Source organism: Homo sapiens, chromosome 15, assembly GCF_000001405.40.
Source record: "Homo sapiens chromosome 15, GRCh38.p14 Primary Assembly".
Lineage (NCBI taxonomy): Eukaryota > Metazoa > Chordata > Mammalia > Primates > Hominidae > Homo > Homo sapiens.
This window is the reverse complement of record NC_000015.10, coordinates 77,307,877-77,328,194: the sequence shown is the minus strand read 5'-3', so window position 1 is coordinate 77,328,194 and position 20,318 is coordinate 77,307,877. Positions and strand designations below refer to the sequence as shown.

Genomic DNA, 20,318 nt, shown 5'->3' with positions numbered 1-20,318 from the left:
AAGGGGAAATTGAGGATCATATCAGGAAAGCTTTTAAAAATATTTATGTACTAATGGGCCAGTCAATGGATTAAAATACATGTGGTATACTGTAAAGTGATCTTTTGCCATTGGAGAGTGAAGGATCCATTATCAGATCAGAGTAGTCTCCATTGGGACTTCAGAGTAGTGGTTGTCAAGAAGCTGTGAGGGAGTTGAGCTACTGCTATTATTTGTGATATTGGAGGCATCTTTGAAGTCAGCATGCACTGTTGCCGTTTCAGGGTGCTTTGACTAAGGTTTTTTTATTTTTTTTCCTTCTTCTTCCATAATGTGGCTTATCAATTAATTCTTAAATCTTCAAAATGTGAGTATCTTCCTTAATTTTCATCACTTTATCTTTGGATATTGCAATAACGTTGCATTTTTTCCCCCTTATACAGTATTTGTAATGATTCTAATTATATCAAAAGGAAAATCTAGCATGGGTATGGATTTTCTTTTTTTACATTTGGTTTAGTGTTTTAGTTTTTCAGGGTTCACGTTAAAAAAACAACAACAACAATGATCTATAACTAGTTCTTCTTTTCTGTTAAAAAGGAAGATTAGGTCTTAGTATATTTTATTATTGTTGATATAATGTTCCACTAATGCTTAATATTGATCTTTTGTCATATATATTTATATACATTATAAAAGAGAACTTGTTTCGTAGTTATCTGCTTGTTATTTACATGAAATATGAGTGTTAAAGAAATACAGACAGATGTTTAGAATACATTAGTGCCAAGTGTGAGTTTTTATCTTATTGGCATAGGAATTTACAATGATTCATTGGGTTGTTTCTTTATTTAACTGGCTGATTCCAGTTTAAACATACCCTTGCCCCAACAATGATTTACTTTATTTAGAACCATAATCTGATGAGTGCAGAGACAACCTCAACCTAACATCCAAATATTTGATTTCGTAGTTATTAAAACATTAATATACTAATTACCATCATGTTGACAATCATCTGGGAATACTTTTTAGTATGAAAACTTTGAATATTTTCTTATTTCTAAAATCCAGGTTACTCATTTATGGTCTTTTCAAAGTGTAGTTTGTCCAGTGGTATTATTAGTTACTTTGGAAAGCAGGTAAGTATCAGAAATGTTTGGATTTTCTTTACATATTCTAAAGCCTTGCTTTAAGTGATAGTCAAACATCATAGGCTGCTAAGTATTTTTGGATGTGGTTTGTTGTTGAATATGTTTACTTGAGGCAAATAATAGTGGGCCCTTTTGGGATTATTTTACCTTGCTAAACTTAATTTCTGAAGATTTTAAATATGGTACATGAGATAGGTTTTCTTCTGTCTGCCTGCCTATAGCACGAGCTCTTTGTCACCAGTATTTTTTTATATATGTATATCCCACATGTCAAGCTGTTTCCTAAATAGAATAGTATCAAGAATATAGACCCTGATTAATTCTGTGTTTGGTGGAAAATGAGAGACAATCAGTTTCAGAAACATCTTAACATCTTAGGGAGTTGTTTTTTCAACATTGCTAGGATATTGGATCTAAGAGCTAAGAATTATTTTTGTTTCTCTTAGATTACAAGTCAGGCAGTTTCTGTGATGAGAGAAATATTCCTTGTATCCAGAAAATGCTGTCATCAGATGGAAAGTGCAGACCGAAATAAGGAGAGGGAGTCTCAGAAGAGAGCTTTTTAGCTTTGTTAGATTTATGACAGTAGAAAATGTGTATTCTCATTCTTACGAATGTTTTAAAATGATTTTGGCATTTCTGTTTCTTTGGAGATATTTTATGTCCTTTCTTTTATTTCTCCTAATTTAAAATTTCTGGCTTTACTTACCTATTTGAGAGATTATCAAGACCAAGTATTATGGTTTGTCATCACAAGATAGTAGTTGAAAGTGTTTATTGATGTTTTTGAGCATCTCCTTTATCAAAGTTAATAGACCCTAATGTGAAAGTTCATTATGTCATTCTTTAAAATCCAAAGATGAATCTGTGTGTTGGGGGAAGGGAGTAGCAGGAGGGGGAAGTTAATTGTTCAAGATAGATGGCTAAAATGGCTTAGCAAATGGGGAGACTTAACTGCTTATAGTCTATGGAGATTATTTGAGATCAGATTTCTCTTACAATTTAGAACATTTAGTAAACAAATTCAAACTATATGGTGCTGGATTCTAAATCATAGAAGTTAGAGTAGTCTATGGTTATGTTTTTTTTTTAAATTTGTACTAGTTCTCTGTTATATTTATATGGTCACCTTACATTTGTAGCTATTTTAAAATCTTAGTCCATTCTCCAACTTTAACTTTATATAAGGTAACCAAAATTTATTATATTTCAGGATGACCTAAATTCATATCAAAGAATCTTAGTCACTAAGAGGGAGAGGCATAAGAAAGCAGTGGGTATGGCACAGCTGGATTTTCAGATCCCAGTTAGAAAATCATCATTAAATATATCAGCTGAGAAATTTGGTTTGTATATTATTAAGAGAAACTAAATCCAAAGACCTCAGAAACATCTTTTTTAAAATCAGTTCCAAAATAGAAAGGTAGCACTTACTCTTGGGAACTTTCATTTGCCAAGAAAATGGAAACTTTACAAGGAGATGAACTGTTTCTGGCTTTTCAGTGGCCCCATCACTGCTAATTTACCCTCTCTATATAAAAGCGCTTGACAGCTGAGTTCCACCTATTTGCCATGGTCACACCAAGGAAAAAGTGTTTTATTAATTATTTTATTTATTTATTTATTTATTTATTTATTTATTTATTTATTTATTGAGATGGGATCTTGCTCTGTCACACAGACTGGAGTGCAATGGCACGATCAAAGCTCACTGTAGCCTACCACTCAGGCTCAAGCTGTCCTCCCACCTCAGCCTCCTGAATAGCTGGGAATACAGGTGTGTGCCACCACACCTGGCTAATTTATTTTTATAGAGACAGGGCTCCCTATGTTGCCCAAGCTGGTCCCAAACTCAGTCTCAGCAATTCTCCCACCTTGGCCTCCCAAATTGTTGAGATTGTAGGCATGAGCCACCACACCCAGCCAAGGGAAGGGTTTTGAGAGAATGTATTCTAGCTGTTTTTTTGTTTTTGTTTCTTTTCCACATTATCTTTATATTTCACTCTACTTGGGACCTAAGAACTGAATTCAATTTGATACATCACTGTTTGCTTCAAATTACTGTATAAACACTAGTGAGACAAATATGTCTAGTTTTTTTTACATGGATTGTGGGTCTGATATTAGAAGTTGTTTGTTATGGTTTGAATCTGTGTCCCCATCCAAATCTCACATTGAATTGTAATCATCAGTGTTGGATGTGGGGCCTGGTGGGAGGTGATTGGATCATGGGGGCAAATTTCTCATCAATGGTTTAGTACCATCCCCTTGGTACTGTCTTCACAATAGTGAGAGAGTTCTTGCAAGATCTGGTCATTTAAAAGTGTGTGGCACCTCCTATCCGTTCTTGCTCCTGCTTTTGCCATGTGTGATGCCTCCTCCCCCTTTGCCTTCTGCCATGATTGTAAGCTTCCTGAAGCCTTCCCAGAACCAGATGCTGCTGTGCTTCCTGTATAGCCTACAGCACTATAAGCCAAATATACCTCTTTTCTTTATAAATTACTCAGTCTCAGTTATTTCTTTATAGCAAAGTGAGAACAGCCTAATACATTGTTTTTAGCTGGTATAAAAACAGTATTTTATTTTTTCTTTTGGGACAGAGTCTCACTCTGTCGCCCAGTGGTGTGATCTCAGCTCACAGCAGCCTCCGCCTTCTGGATTCAAGTGATTCTCGTGCCTTAGCCTCCTGAGTAGCTGGGCTTACAGGCACCCACCACTATGCCCAGCTAATTTTTTGTATTTTTAGTAGAGATGGGGGTTTCACCATGTGGGCCATGCTGGTCTCGGAACTCCTGGCCTCAAGTGATTTACCCGCCTCAGCCTCCCAAAGTGCTGGGATTACAGGCGTGAGCCATCACACCCAGCAATGTGGATCAATTTAATAATGCATTCACTCAGCAAACATTTATTGAGCGCATATTCCATAACCAAGTATTAGGAGTACAGAGATAAATAAGACATGTTTCCTGTCCTGAGGATCTCATTGTCTGTCTCTAAAGTCTTAAACTTTGTTAAATAGGGAATCCTTTCCCCATTTCTTGTTTTTGTCAGGTTTATCAAAGATCGGATGGTTGTAGATATGTGGCATTATTTCTGAGGGCTCTGTTCTGTTCCATTGGTCTGTATCTCTGTTTTGGTACCAGTACCATATTGTTTTGGTAACTGTAGCCTTGTAGTATAGTTTGAAGTCAGGTAGCGTGATGCCTCCAGCTTTGTTCTTTTGGCTTAGGATTGACTTGGCAATGCAGGCTCTTTTTTGGTTCCATATGAACTTTAAAGTAGTTTTTTCCAATTCTGTGAAGAAAGTCATTGGTAGCTCGATGGGGATGGCATTGAATCTATAAATTACCTTGGGCAGTATGGCCATTTTCATGGTATTGATTCTTCCTACCCATGAGCATGGAATGTTCTTCCATTTGTTGGTATCCTCTTTAATTTCATTGAGCAGTGGTTTGTAGTTCTCCTTGAAGAGGTCCTTCACGTCCCTTGTACGTTGGATTCCTAGGTATTTTATTCTCTTTGAAGCAATTGTGAATGGGAGTTCACTCATGATTTGGCTCTCCGTTTGTCTGTTATTGGTGTATAAGAATGCTTGTGATTTTTGCACATTGATTTTGTGTCTTGAGACTTTGCTGAAGTTGCCTATCAGCTTAAGGAGATTTTGGGCTGAGACAATGGGGTTTTCTAGATATACAATCATGTCATCTGCAAACAGGGACAATTTGACTTCCTCTTTTCCTAATTGAATACCCTTTATTTCCTTCTCCTGCCTGATTGCCCTGGCCAGAACTTCCAACACTATGTTGAATAGGAGTGGTGAGAGAGGGCATCCCTGTCTTGTGCCAGTTTTCAAAGGGAACGCTTCCAGTTTTTGCCCATTCAGTATGATGTTGGCTGTGGGTTTGTCATAGATAGCTCTTATTATTTTGAGATACGTCCCATCAATACCTAATTTATTGAGAGTTTTTAGCATGAAGGTTGTTGAATTTTGTCAAAGGCCTTTTCTGCATCTATTGAGATAATCATGTGGTTTTTGTCTTTGGTTCTGTTTATATGCTGGATTACGTTTATTGATTTGTGTATGTTGAACCAGCCTTGCATCCCAGGGATGAAGCCCTCTTGATCATGGTGGATAAGCTTTTGGATGTGCTGCTGGATTCGGTTTGCTAGTATTTTATTGAGGATTTTTGCATCGATGTTCATCAGGGATATTGGTCTAAAATTCTTTTTTTGTTGTTGTTGTGTCTCTGCCAGGCTTTGGTATCAGGATGATGCTGGCCTCATAAAATGAGTTAGGGAGGATTCCCTCTTTTTCTATTAATTGGAATAGTTTCAGAAGGAATGGTACCAGCTCCTCCTTGTACCTCTGGTAGAATTTGGCTGTGAATCCATCTGGTCCTGGACTTTTTTTGGTTGGTAAGCTATTAATTATTGCCTCAATTTCAGAGCCTGTTATTGGTCTATTCAGAGATTCAGCTTCTTCCTGGTTTAGTCTTGGGAGGGTGTAAGAGTTGAGGAATTTATCCATTTCTTGTGGATTTTCTAGTTTATTTGCATAGAGGTGTTTATAGTATTCTCTGATGGTAGTTTGTATTTCTGTGGGATCGGTGGTGATATCCCCTTTATCATTTTTTATTGCGTCTATTTGATTCTTCTCTCTTTTCTTCTTTATTAGTCTAGCTAGCGGTCTATCAATTTTGTTGATCCTTTCAAAAAACCAGCTCCTGGATTCATTGATTTTTTGAAGGGTTTTTTGTGTCTCTATTTCCTTCAGTTCTGCTCTGATCTTAGTTATTTCTTGCCTTCTGCTAGCTTTTGAATGTGTTTGCTCTTGCTTCTCTAGTTCGTTTAATTGTGATGTTAGAGTGTCAATTTTAGATCTTTCCTGCTTTCTCTTGTGGGCATTAATGCCATAAATTTCCCTCTACACACTGCTTTGAATGTGTCCCAGAGATTCTGGTATGTTGTGTCTTTGTTCTCGTTGGTTTCAAAGAACATCTTTATTTCTGCCTTCATTTCGTTATGTATCCAGTAGTCATTCAGGAGCAGGTTGTTCCGTTTCCATGTAGTCGAGCGGTTTTGAGTGAGTTTCTTAATCCTGAGTTCTAGTTTGATTGCACTGTGGCCTGAGAGACAGTTTGTTATAATTTCTGTTCTTTTACATTTGCTGAAGAGTACTGGCTAGCCATGTGTAGAAAGCTGAAACTGGATCCCTTCCTTACACCTTATACAAAAGTTAATTTGAGATGGATTAAAGACTTAAATGTTAGACCTGAAACCATAAAAACCCTAGAAGAAAACCTAGGCAATACCATTCAGGACATAGGCATGGGCAAGGACTTCACGTCTAAAACACCAAAAGCAATGGCAACAAAAGCCGAAATTGACAATTGGGATCTAATTAAACTAAAGAGCTTCTGCACAGCAAAAGAAGCTACCATCAGAGTGAACAGGCAACCTACAGAATGGGAGAAAATTTTTGCAATCTACTCATCTGACAAAGGGCTAATATCCAGAATCTACAATGAACTTAAACAAATTTACAGGAAAAAAACATCTCCATCAAAAAGTGGGCAAAGGATATGAACAGACACTTTTCAAAAGAAGACATTTAAGCAGCCAAAAGACACATGAAAAAATGCCCATCATCACTGGCCATCAGAGAAATGCAAATCAAAACCACAAGGAGATACCATCTCACACCAGTTAGAATGGCGATCATTAAAAAGTCAGGAAACAACAGGCGCTGGAGAGGATGTGGAGAAATAGGAACACTTTTACACTGTTGGTGGGACTGTAAACTAGTTCAACCATTGTGGAAGTCAGTATGGCGATGCCTCAGGGCTCTAGAACTAGAAATACCATTTGACCCAGCCATCCCATTACTGGGTATATACCCAAAGGATTATAAATCATGCTGCTATAAAGACACATGCACACATATGTTTATTGTGGCACTGTTCACAATAGCAAAGACTTGGAACCAACCCAGATGTCCAACAATGACAGACTGGATTAAGAAAATGTGGCACATATACACCATGGAGTATTATGCAGCCATAAAAAATGAGGAGTTCATGTCCTTTGTAGGGACATGGATAAAGCTGGAAACCATCATTCTCAGCAAAGTGTCGCAAGGACAAAAAACCAAACACCGCATGCTCTCACTCATAGGTGGGAATTGAACAATGAGAACACATGGACACAGGAAGGGGGACATCACACACTGGGGCCTGTTGTGCTGTGGGGGACGGGGGAGGGATAGCATTAGGAGATGTACCTAATGTTAAATGACGAGTTAATGGGTGCAGCACACCAACATGGCACATGTATACATATGTAACTAACCTGCACGTTGTGCCCATGTACCCTAAAACTTAAAGTATAATAAAAAAAATGCTGGGGGAAAAAAATAAATAAAGTCTTAAACTTTGGCACAGAGAAATGTGAGGCTCAGTTAGCTGCTCTAGATAAGGTCATTTAACTCCCAGATACGAAAAACAATGAACTACCAAGGCAAGGCATAAATTGTTGGTGTGGATATTCTATTTTATTTTGTCTAGAAAACCTTGGAAGTAAGATTCTAGTAAACAGTGGAATTTTTTCTCCTTAGAGAGTTTGGTAGTCATTACTCAATGTTTTAATAAACTTTTCCCCAGGGTCTACTGTTTGTAAGCATCATGATCAGCACTAGGGATATAAAATATATGAGATAGAGTGTTTTATTCTTGAGGAGGTCAGTGGGGGAGACAGCTATATATGCAAATAATTACAGTATGGTGGGGATAGACATTTTATTATTGAATTCTGTACCAAGTGATTTCTGTTGGTAGGAGTGACACTAGGGAGTAAAGAGGAACTAAGGAGGTCAGGTAACAGGGACACTGGGCAATAAAGAGAAACTAAGGTCACCAGGCCAAAAATCCTGGATGACTGAAGGAGGCAGCCAGTTCTGCCTAGGAGAATCTTTCAGAAGCTCTTTACTTCTACATCATATATTAGCAATTTCAGTGATGATTACTAAGAGAAAAACAAAAGTAAATTTTAAAGCACAAGAATATCTTTGTTACAAAGAAGGCATTTTGTTATTTATAATAAAATCTCATGTTGGTTCTGCTTTGTAGTTGACCTTTTAACGATATTTTTCATTGGGAGCAGCTTCCCACTTTGCAAATGAAGAAAGTAAACAAAGAGTAAAAGATCATCCATAGTGATATTGCCAGAAACAGCGATGAATTTGCACTGCTCTAAATGGGTGCATCTATAAATTTGGTATTAGAAGGCCTATAACATTAGAACAGATAGCCTTGTGGGGTAGAACTATTTAAGAGGGATTGATGGTGCACAAAATTAGAAAACAGTGGTCCACATTCAATATTTTTATTTTATATATTGGCTAGTTGAAGTGGTTGGTGTTCTTATTCCTTAAAACCTATTAAAAAGTAAAACACTTCAGAGAACCTTTTATCTCAGTGTTCTAGGTCTGTCTATTAGCCAAAGTGCCCTTTTCCATTATCATCACAAGCTACTCCTAGAATCTTCTCTGCATCCAACAGAAATTTCCTGTCTGGCAGTTACAACCAGTTTTTGTTTACTTTCTTTTATTTAAGAACTTTAAAAATCAGTGATTAACTCTTTGGTTACTTCAGAGATAATGAGTATAATCAGTATACACTTATTTTTCCTTATATTTGATATTTTCTTCAACAATTTTGCTCCTTTTTAAAGAAAGGTGTTTGTAGATCACTGAAAAGATTTAAAGCCTTGAGTTTTATAAGTGGTGCTAGGGCACGCTTTTTTTTTTTTTTAAACTACATTTGGGGCAAATTATTTCTTACCTTCCGTTTGCCAGAATTTCACCTGTTATAGACCAGAATAATTTATCCACCTTTTCTGTAAGAATAGTTTAAAAGGTAAGAGCTAGTAGGACATTAGATCAGAGTAGTTACTAAATTTCAAAGTATTATATCATAGTGATTATGAATATTGTTATAGCTGGAGACAGTCTTCTTTGGATCCTATTAGGTTGTCTTCTTGGTTCTAGTGCAAGGTGTGGCAAAGCTTTACTTTTGAATTAGCATTTTATACTTTTGCCATCTTCAGAGAGTTTGTAGAACATTGACCACATTGTTAGGTGGTTCGTGGTTCAGGAAAGCAAATACTAACTCCGACTGTAGTAGCTACCTGAAGCACCTGTTCAGAATTAGGAGGTTTATAGGGGACATGTGGTAAGGAGGGGTGTCATCTATTAGCATCTGACATGATTGCAAGCTGGGGAGAGAGGGAGTGGGTTTTGTGTTACTTATACCGCATGTTTGCTAAATTCATAAAGGAGAATTAGAATAGGTATTTATTCTAATTAATAAATTATAAATTATATTTTATAAGTTATACATTAATTTATAATTTATGACTAATAAATTATAACTTATAAATTAATGAGTCATTCTTACCATATCCCTCTTCAGAAAATCATTCTCTCTGTTCACATACCTCCAGTGAGAAGCTTACTGCCTGCCTGAGATCCCACTCTGTCGTTGGACAGCTCTGTTAGAAATTCTCCTCTGTGGTATTTTTCTTCCCACACATTTACTACTGTGTGTTTCAAACATTTATGAAACCCTAATATAAGGGGTTTCTGGCAAGGGTTAATTATGAGGTTTTTGTGTCATTTATCCTTTTTGCCCATTTGAAAACTTTTAAGTTAAATATTCACAGGAAGTTGCCAATATAATACAGAGATCTCCTGTCTACTGTTCACCAGTTACCCCCAATCATAACATCTTACAAAACTGTATTATAATAGCAAAACCGTAAAATCGACAGTGGTATAATCCATAAGCCTTATTCAGATTTCACTAGTTTATATACATTTGTGTGTGTGTGTGTGTATGCATGCATGCATGCAATTTTGTTACCTGTGTAGATTTGTCTAACTATCAAAATAGTCAAGATACAAAGCTGTTCCATACCTACAAAGATCTCCCTTATGCTACCCCTTTATAGTTACCCTCAATCTTCCCTCCCCCTGCCAATTCCTGGTCCCTGGCAACCATTAATCTGCTTTCCATTTCTGAAATGTCATCATTTTTAGAATGCTATATAAATGGAATCATACAGTATTTGTATATAGCCTTTGAGAATGGCTTTTTACACCCAACATGATTCCCTTGAGATCTATCCAAATTGTTACGTATATCAATAGTTATGCTGGTTGGTGTTCTTTTTAGTAATTACAGATATCTTTCCTTCTAAGACTACAATAAACATTTGCCTAACTATATGAACATTTGAAATACTATAAAAGTGATTAAACTTGTAGAGCTGTTCAATTTGAATTCAGTCATTTTATAGTACATATGATATCTCAACTTTGATAATTTGTTGCTGAACTGTGAGGGCTAACGAGGAGTGAAAGACTGAGAGTCAGGAGACCCCATTCTTCTGTCTGTTTTTAACCAGCTCTGGGAACACATGCTCATGATTCAACTCATTTGTGCTGCTGCTGATGTGGCCAAAGGTTGTCTCCCTGATAAGGTAATTGTCAGGATGAAATGAGACATAAAAGTCAAAATATAAATTTACCTATAGTATGTCAAACAAAAATAAATGTGCAAGGTACAAATTAAAAGGAAATATACTGAATTATTAACTGATTGTGTCTGGTATAATGAGATTGATAATAACAAGTTGTTTAGTTTTTTTGAAAAGAATTGCCTTTTCTAATTTTTCCATAATGAAGGCATATTTTATCTTTGTTTTTCTGTTCATAAAAATAATGCATACTTAATAAAAATTGAAACATGACAGATATTTACACTAGGAAATGAAAACTTACTGAAATTCCCCACCCAGACTTAACGATTTTGAACTCTTTGTTGTATTTTTTTTCTATGCACATAGTAAGCTTTTGTTATTATTGAAACAGAAAATGAGAATTTGCTGTGCGTATTGTTTTGCATCTTATTTATTTATTTATTTGAGACAGAGTCTTGCTCTGTCACCCAGGCTGGAGTGCAGTGGTGCCATCTTGGTTCACTGCAACCTCCACCTCCTGGGTTCAAGCAATTCTCCTGCCTCAGCCTCCTAAGTAGCTGGGACTACAGGTGCACGCCACCACGCCCAGCTAATTTTTGTATTTTTTTTAGTAGAGACAGGGTTTTGCCATGTCGGCCAGGCAGGTCTCAAACTCTCGGCCTCAGGTTTTCTGCCTGCCTCAGCCTCCCAAAGTGCTGGGATTACAGGTGTGAGCCACTGCACCCAGCTGCATCTTACTTTTCGCTAAGCTATGTTGAACATTTTTCCATAGGTATACATATAGTTTTAATAGCTATGTTGTTACTTCACTGTGTACATGTAGTATTCATTCATTTCGTCAGCTATTATTCATTGAATACTTGCTGTGTTTAAGGCACCATGGTGGGGAAACTACGATGAATAATATATGAAGCTTACATTTTTGTGGGAAGACAGGCATTAATGATGATTAATTTCTCAATTGACCATTTGATTACAAATGTTATAAGCACTAGGAAAGAGCAGTACAGGGAGCTATGTAAGTGCTTATTAGAGAGACTTAACCTGCTTTGGGAACCAGGGAGAATTTTCCAGAGAAAATAACTTTGTGATAAAATCTAAGTATGTTTATGTAAGAATCAGGAAATGGGTGATGAAGGAATAGTACATAGATAAATAGATATATACATATACAGCTGGAAGGCTGTATGTCAAAATGGCAATCATATTTATTTGTGGTGATGGCATTACAGAAGTTTTAAAAGTCTCTATTTTCTAATTTTTCTATGGTGAACATGTATTTATCATTTGACTAAAATAGAAAAACTAAACCTGTTGGGTATGTGAATACACATGCACGTAAAGAAAAACAAAACTGATAAAATATATCTCACAGTGTTAATACTGTGGTGGCATTACAGTTAGCTATTGAATTTTTAAACAGGCTTTTTAAGAGCAGTTTTAGATTTATAGAAAAATTGAGAAGATGGTACAAGAGTTTCCATATGCCCTCCCCCCAATACACACGTACCCTATCATATTTATTAACATCTTATGGTGCATTTGTTACAATAAATAAACCAATATTGATATTATTAGCTAAAATTCATAGTTTATTCAGATTTCCTTAGTTTTTACCTGTATCATTTTTGTGTTCCAGGAACCCATCTAGGATACCACACTTACATTTAGTTTTCAGGTCTTCTTATTCTTCTCTTGGCTGTGATGATTTCTCTGATAATCTTTATTTTTTATGTTCTTGACAATTTAGAGGAGTACTGGTGAGGGATATTGTAGAATGTCCCTCTTTTGTGATTTGTCCAATGTTTTTCTCATGATTAGACTCATGGGTTTTTTTCCTGTACATATATAATATATAGTTGTTGTTGATTTTTATTTTTTTATTTTTTATTTTATTTTTATTTTTTTTACTCATCCGTGTTTCTGTTTATATATGGGATAACAAATTCAGGAACAATGGGAAAGTAATATATAAAACCTTAATAGGAAATACAGTAGAGATTACAAAACACTACCATTTGATTTTTTATGCAAATACTTAAATATTCCAATATTTTTACTCACTTGCTAAATAAAGCACACGACTCGAAATGCTAAGTAACTCTGTTAGTCTGAATCTTTTAAAGAATAAAATGTTGGTGAAAAACCAAAGTTGTTTAGTAAGGTATGTATGACCTTGTTTATTATCTATCGTAGACATCAAGATGATCATAGTTAATACCAATTTAAGCTTTACAGAATACTGTTTTAGGCCCAATATTGATATATTAAATGAAAGTATCAGAGAATCTTGTATTTATGGCATCAGGTTATAAAGATCTATTCAAAACCATTTTTGTCAAAGTTTAAACACTGGAACAAAAGTCAAATTGTTTCTAAATGAGACACAAAATAATTCTTGCTATTAGTACAAATTTTGTCCCATGGGTAATACTGTTGTCTTTTTCTTTTTTAAAAAAATTATTTCGATTTTTATTTTAGATTCAGGGAACACATGGGCAGGTTTGTTAGCTGGGTATACTGTGTGATGCTGAGGTTTGGGGTACGGATGATGCTGTCACCCAGGTAGTGAGCAGAGTGCCAGTAGGTAGTTTTTCAGCTCTTGCTCCCACTCCACACCCTACCTCCCCAGTGTCTGTTATTCCCATGGGTCGTCAGGTATTACTATTTTCAAGTTTTTTTCTTTACATGAAACTACGGAAAGCAAAAGTATGTCATGCTTATACGTTACTCTGTACATTTATCATTCTATTAATAAACATCTTAAGTAATTAAGTAGTATATTAAGGCCATCAACCAAGTCATTATCTCCTACCAGAGGACTACTGTTATTCAGTCATCTAGAAAATTCGTTTTAGGCAGGACGCAGTGGCTCACATGTGTAATCTCAGCACTTTGGGAGGCCGAGGTGGGTGGATCATGAAGTCAGGAGTTCGAGACCATCCTGACCAGCATGGTGAAACCCTGCCTCTACTAAAAATACAAAAATTAGCTGGGCGTGGTGGTATGTGCCTGTAATCCCAGCTACTCAGGAGGCTGAGGCAGGAGAATCGCTTGAACCCGGGGAGGCAGAGGTTGCAGTGAGCTGAAATCGCACCATTGCACTCCAGCCTGGGTGACAGAGAGAAACTCTGTCTTAAAAAAAAAGAAAATTCATTGTAATGGGTTATATTACAGGGTTGAGGTCAGCCTACAGACCCAAAATAGGTTAACTGAATTTTTTTTTTTTCGTATCAGGTTTTACTTTTTTCATTGGAACAGGATTTGAGGGTGGGGATACTAAATGTGGCAGGGTTCAACAAATTTACATTTTATCAAAATAAGGTTCTTAAAGAATACAATGATAGCATATGCTTTAACTCTTATAACACAAACCCTCATATTAATTGATGGTCACAGAAAAATACTGTAATGCTTTAAACAAAAGTTTTAAAATACATCAGTGACACAAGTTTTGAAAGGAAGACCACAGAAATAAAGTACCATTCTCATCACATCATATCAAGGGTATATACTGTCAGCATGACTTATCGCTGTTGATGTTAACCTTGCTCACTGGCTAAGGTAGTGTTTGCCAGGTTTCTCCATTGTAAAGTTATTCTTTTCCCCTCTTTCCATATACTACTCTTTAAAAGGACGTCTTGGCCGGGCACGGTGGCTCACACCTGTAATCCCAGCACTCTGGGAGGCCGAGGTGGGTGGGTAATCTGAGGTCAGGAGTTCGAGACCAGCCTGACCAACATGGAGAAATCCCATCTCTACTAAAAATAAATAAATAAATAAATATATATATATATACACACACACACACACACATACATATATATATATACACACACACACACACACACACACACACACACACACACACATACATACATACATACATACATTACTGGGCATGGTGGTGCATGCCTGTAATCCCAGCTACTCAGGAGGCTGAGGCAGGAGAATCGCTTGAACCCAGGAGGTGGAGGTTGCGGTGAGCCGAGTTCGCGCCATTGCACTCCAGCTTGGGCAACAAGAGTGAAACTCCATCTCAAAATAAACAAATAAATAAATAAAATAAAAGGAAGTCTTTGTGCACAGCCTATGTTAGGTTGCACTTCCTAGAAGAAGTGAATAAACTATTTGATTATTCTGCCTAGGAAATTTGTTTATTCTTCCTCATTTATTTACTTAGTTATTTATATTGGTATGAACTTGAAGACTTATTTTATACTTTGGATTTTAATCCAGTATTACTTTATTTTATTGCTCATCTTGTTTCAGCTTTAACCATTGGAAGTTCTTTCAGTTGCCTCCTGCGCCCCTTTGACATACCCATATCAACCATATTTTGTGTGTGTATTTAAGCATTTAAAAAATTTTCTGACACTACAAAATGCCCCAGGTTTATCTTGTGTATTTCCTGCGATAGCCCTAGAAATAGCAATTTTTGCCAAAGAGCCTTCCTTTTATTAGAGAATAGTGTAAGAAACCAAAATCTAGATATTATTTTGTTTTTGCTTAATATTCTATTCCTACTTCTGGTTTTTCCTTTTATTTTAAAAGGCTTCTGATAAGCCAAATATAAATTCTACCATGTTAAATGTATTTTGGCTCACTGATTATCCATTTCTAACTACCTTGTCCTTCCCTTCCTTCTCCCTTTAGACATCTTTCAGCTAGGGTTGGCCCTGTGACACAGTGCTGGCCAGGGACATGTAAGTACAAGTCCACTGGGGAGAGCTTTCTTTCCATAATCAAAAATCAAAACCTTATGGGAGATATTTTTAGGCCTTCAGCCTTCTTCCTGCCAGGAATATGGAACTGATGCCTGGAGGTTCATCATGAGTATGAAAACAAATTCGAGGGAATGCACAGCAGATGGATAGAAGGACTTTGTTTTGTGATGTCATTGATGACCTGCAGTCAAACCATTCCTGGTCTGCCCAGCCCCAGACTGCTGATTGCCTAAAATAAAATCCTGTGTGTTTAAATTGTTGTTACCTGGTTTTTCTGTGAGTGTAGCCCCACACATAGTCTTAGCCAATTCAGTTATTTATTTGGTTGGCAGAATTGTTATTTGTTTATTTATAAAATACCTGTTGAAGACCTACCATGTGTAAGCCTCCATAAAATGGAGCACAAAGAAAGAAACTCTTATCAGTCAGTATTGGCTCCGTACTCTCTGAACCCAGGTTTAATAATGATGTACAGAATAGGATAATTACATGAGTAACTATAATTAAAAATGGAATATAGTAATATGTGTCACTTAGTTGGTCGCAGTTACCTGTCATCTGTTACTGTAATCTATTTTTCTTATTGTATTCTCTGTGTCAGCAAAAAGTTTCACTATTTACCTAGTTTCAGAACAGAAACCCAGGAGTAGTACTAGTCCCTTTATTTTCTCTAACTCCCCACGCCCTGTTTTTCCTACCTTGTAAAAATTTTTTGGTCCGTTTTCTTTATTTCCTTTACTCCTGCACTAATTATGACTGTCATAAATTTCTCTCACATGATTCATACAACTCTTCATACCTAGTATCCCTACTCCCAGTGTTCATCCCTCCCCACACTACTAACTAGGCAGTCTTTCTAAAGGCACTTTAAAATCTTGTTTTTCTCTTCAGTAAAATTGTATATTGGCTCTGCATAGTCTCTAGTGTAAAGTTCAAATTTTTTCTCTTGTGAAAGCCCTCCAGGATCTGAACCTGCGTGGCTATCCAGCTCCACCTTATGGCACTGTCCTCATTACACAGTGCCCCCCACCAGACGCACACCTTATCTCATTCCAAACGTTTAACAACTTCTGCCTTTAGTTTTCTTTTTCTTTTTTTTTTTTTTTTTTTTTGTGGGGGTTGGGGGGGTTGGAATCTCGCTGTGTTTCCCAGGCTAGAGTGCAGTGGTGCAATCTTGGCTTGCTGCAACCTCCGCTTCTTGGGTTCAAGCAATTCTCCCTGCCTCAGCCTCCCGAGTAGCTAGGATTACAGGTACCCGCCAGCACGCCTAATTTTTGTATTTTTAGTAGAGACAGGGTTTTGCCATGTTGGCCAGGCTAGACTTGAACTCCTGACCTCAAGTGATCCACCCGCCTCTGCCTCGCAAAGTGTTGGGATTACAGGCGTGAGCCACTGCACCCGGCCTGCCTTTAATTTTCTATGTCCTCATTTATTTCCGAACATTCCTTCAACCCTGAAATTCTTACTACTCCCAATGCCTTTTAGACCTTAATTAAGACTTAGAGCTGGTCATTCAGAAAACTTCTGAATTCTCAACCTATCCCTGTCAAGAATTCCTGTACCCAGCCTCTGTTATTGCATAATAACTCTGGCAGTTATCATATGGGAGATGCCTCTTGAATTCATCTACTTCCGTCTTCATTACCACCACTTTGTTCTAGGCTACCATCATAATAACCTATTTAAATGGTCTGTCTGCACCTACTTTAATAACTTGTGAAATCTATTCTTTAACCAGTATCCAGTGATTTTTCAAACTACAGATCTGATCATTATGGCCCTGTGTTTAAAAAATGTTCTCTGGTTTCCTAATGATCTTAGGCTGTAAACTAATACCTAAAATGTCCTGCATAGATTTGTTCCTATCTACTTACTTCTCAAGCCTCATTGGGTTTTTGTTTGTTTGTTTAGTTCTTTAAACATACTATGCTCCCTGTCATCTCAGAACCTTTGCATGTGGTATTCCCCTGTCTGAAACATTTATCAGTTAGATTTCATCCTTCAGATCTCAACGCTTCTTTAGGTTATCCCCAAGCCAGGTCTAGGTCAGATTCCTTTGTTGTATGTTTTACTTTCCATGTCTTTTGCATAAACTTATATAGTAGAGCAAGCTGACAAGCACATAGTTGCATTTAATTTTCAACATTGGTTGTAGCTCCCATCTAAAAGTAGCTTTTCTGCATGTGCCCTTCTAGAAACCTTCACTTGTATGCAACTGGTCATTTCACTCATCTCATTAGACTCCTGTCCTGTTTGGACTTCATGGTGCAAACTACTTAAATGTGGCTCTTGTCAGCACCCTAGGTTCTTTTGCTCAAAACCTTTTTTACAGCCCAAGCCATTTGTTCTCTAATTTTTAGTTGTGGTTTATTTTTTGTGCTTTGATATGAAACCTGCAGAGAAAGCAGTTTACTTTGTTCAGAAAAGTTCTAAGTAATTTAAGTTCTGCTTAAACAGTGCTATGACCAAGCTAGGAACATAAGAGACTTGTAAAAGGAGTGACTCAGGGACCCCAGACTTAAACCTATTAGTTCAAACTTTTGTATGACTTCATGAACTCCTGAAAAACATCCAGATTTGGCCATAAGTTTAAACATATATCACAAAGTCGTAGGCTCAAGCATTCAAAGAGGCTTTAGAGTTACTGAGTTTTAGTCCAGCCACCTCTATTCAATGTCAGTTGGTTTCTGAGTGTTCTCTACCACCCATACATAAGAGATTGTCTTCCTTCCATGTAGTGAGCTGAAACCTGTCTCCTTACAAATTTAGTCCACTAGTTTGGGTTCTTAGCACTGTTTGTGAAATGACAACTCAGGTATGAGAAGACAGCTACCATGTTCTCCCTAAACAGTTTTTCTCCAGGAAGAATAGCCACAGTTCCTCATATGTCATGACTTAAGGTTCTTTTATTGTCCTGTTTGAATATTTAAAGTTTTGATTGTTTGAATGTTTTGGATTACTCACCACTATGTCCTTTTCTATTAGTATAAATAATAAAGGTGATTGTATATAAAACAAGTTAATAGTTTTTTATGGCAAATAAAAAATATGCAATGACAAATTAGTTGTGAGACTGAAATACTACTTGGTGTTTAGCTCACAGATCTAAAAAGCTATTTAGGCTTTTTTGGTGGATTAAATAAAGGGTGGGGACAGAGGATAGTTGAAGGAAACTGGAATAGGTGATTATTTATGTAATGTGTGACCACTTCCTTCACTTTATTACACCATTACATTTGCATATTACTATCATTTTCAATCTGTGATCAGCTGTTTAATTTTAGAAATGCAATGTATTCAGCATTTTGCAACCACCACATGTAGATTGTTGATTTTCTGGAAGCTGTAAAGGTGTTTTTTTTTTCCCTTGCTGGAAAATGCACATTCTGTCATTAATTATAAAACTTGTGGCAGCCTTATATGTCATTCCTTCTGTCTGTGCAGAATACAGATTTACTACTTGCTTCAATTAGGAGAGTCAAAAGCAATGGTGGCCGCTGAACTTTCTATGAACTTCAAAGTCCTAAGCATAATTTGTCAGGGGTTTCTAAGGTTTCTCTTTTTACTTTTCCTTTATCTTACTCTGGGATAAAACCTCCATAAATGAGAAAAGACATATTCATCTTTGGTAATGGCACAAACTTGTTCCTTTCTGATCTTTAGCCACTCAGGTGCTAAAGTATTAATATCAAAGAAAATTATAAAATGACTTTATACTAATTATTTTATATGCAGCAAACATGGGAAAAGGAATATGCTCCTCCTTTTACCTGATGTTTGTGGTTTTACTCATACTCCTGAAATGCAGACATTTCAAATAGAATCTTTCCAAAGTACTGCTTTTTTTGGATTTTTTTTGGCTTTGATTTTGTATTGTATACAGTAACTTTTTCATGATGTCATGTTATTGACCCAGCTTTGAGCAGAACTTTTAGTATCCACAGCATCTCAATAATTTAGCTTGTTTTTTCTTCTCCCTCATTGTAACATTTGTTGAAAGGTACAGGACCAAGAAAAGTCCTTGTGCAACATTAGCAAGCATTTAATTAAGGGGTGATGCCTGTGGTACCAGAGTATGTGAAGTGAAACAGAGATGCTTAATCAGCCACAAAAGCTATTTACTGCTTCGTAAACCTCGGTGCTCAGTGTCATAAATATTATTACTGTTCTAGGACTTCAGAAAAGTAATGAAATATCAAAACTGATTTTTCTCTACTGTTAAAGTATGGAAAGCTTTCCTCCTAATAGAACTTGTAATGAAGCTGACATTTGGGAGAAGCATACATAACTGAAATTTATTAACTGGAATGTGATCAGAAGGGACTTAAATACAAATGAGGGGTATGTTGAAAGTAAAGCACAGAGGAAAAGGTTTTATCTCTATTAAGCCTGAAGTTACCCTGAGGAATAAGTCACATAATATTGCCATATATATTTCAAACGCCTACATGGGCATGGACTAATAGATGCTTCCTGTCCATTAGCTTAAATCTTTATAGCAACTCTGTAAACTAAGTTGATTCCAGTTTTACAAATGAAGACATGGAAGGAAGCTCAGAGAGATTAAGTCACATAGATGTGTATGATAATGCCTGTGCTCTTTCTAGTACTTCAAACTGCTTATTAGATGAAAGCTTATATTAAAAAGCCTTTAAAATATTTATTCTGTTGAATATCTGTTAGTATACCTGAAAAGCTCAATTGTGCCGTGTTAATTCTTAAATTTTTAACCTTTTATTTATTCTGTTTTCAACATTTGTTAAGCAGCTAGTATATTCCTAACACTAAGTATTATGAAGCCTGTAACTAAATAAAGGACAAAAGTATCCTCAGAATTCCCATAGTTAAGTCTAAAGGAAGATTTAAACTTGAATTGTTGAAGAGGTCTTATTGATTCCTTCCCACTGAGTCTTCCTCCTCA

General features: G+C 36.5%; 1 protein-coding gene across 33 annotated transcripts in view; it reads left to right on the top strand.

Moving 5' to 3' along the window:
- PEAK1 (pseudopodium enriched atypical kinase 1) overlaps positions 1-20,318 on the top strand; it is a 320,261-nt gene that overhangs the window by 92,720 nt on the left and 207,223 nt on the right. Inside the window, exon 3 of one of the 33 annotated variants that reach the window (XM_047433069.1) lies at positions 15,327-15,376. The exons of the other annotated variants lie outside the window; for them this stretch is intronic. The gene's annotated coding sequence lies outside the window, so the exon portion shown is untranslated. The remainder of the gene's footprint in view (positions 1-15,326; positions 15,377-20,318) is intronic. 33 annotated transcript variants of the gene reach the window in all.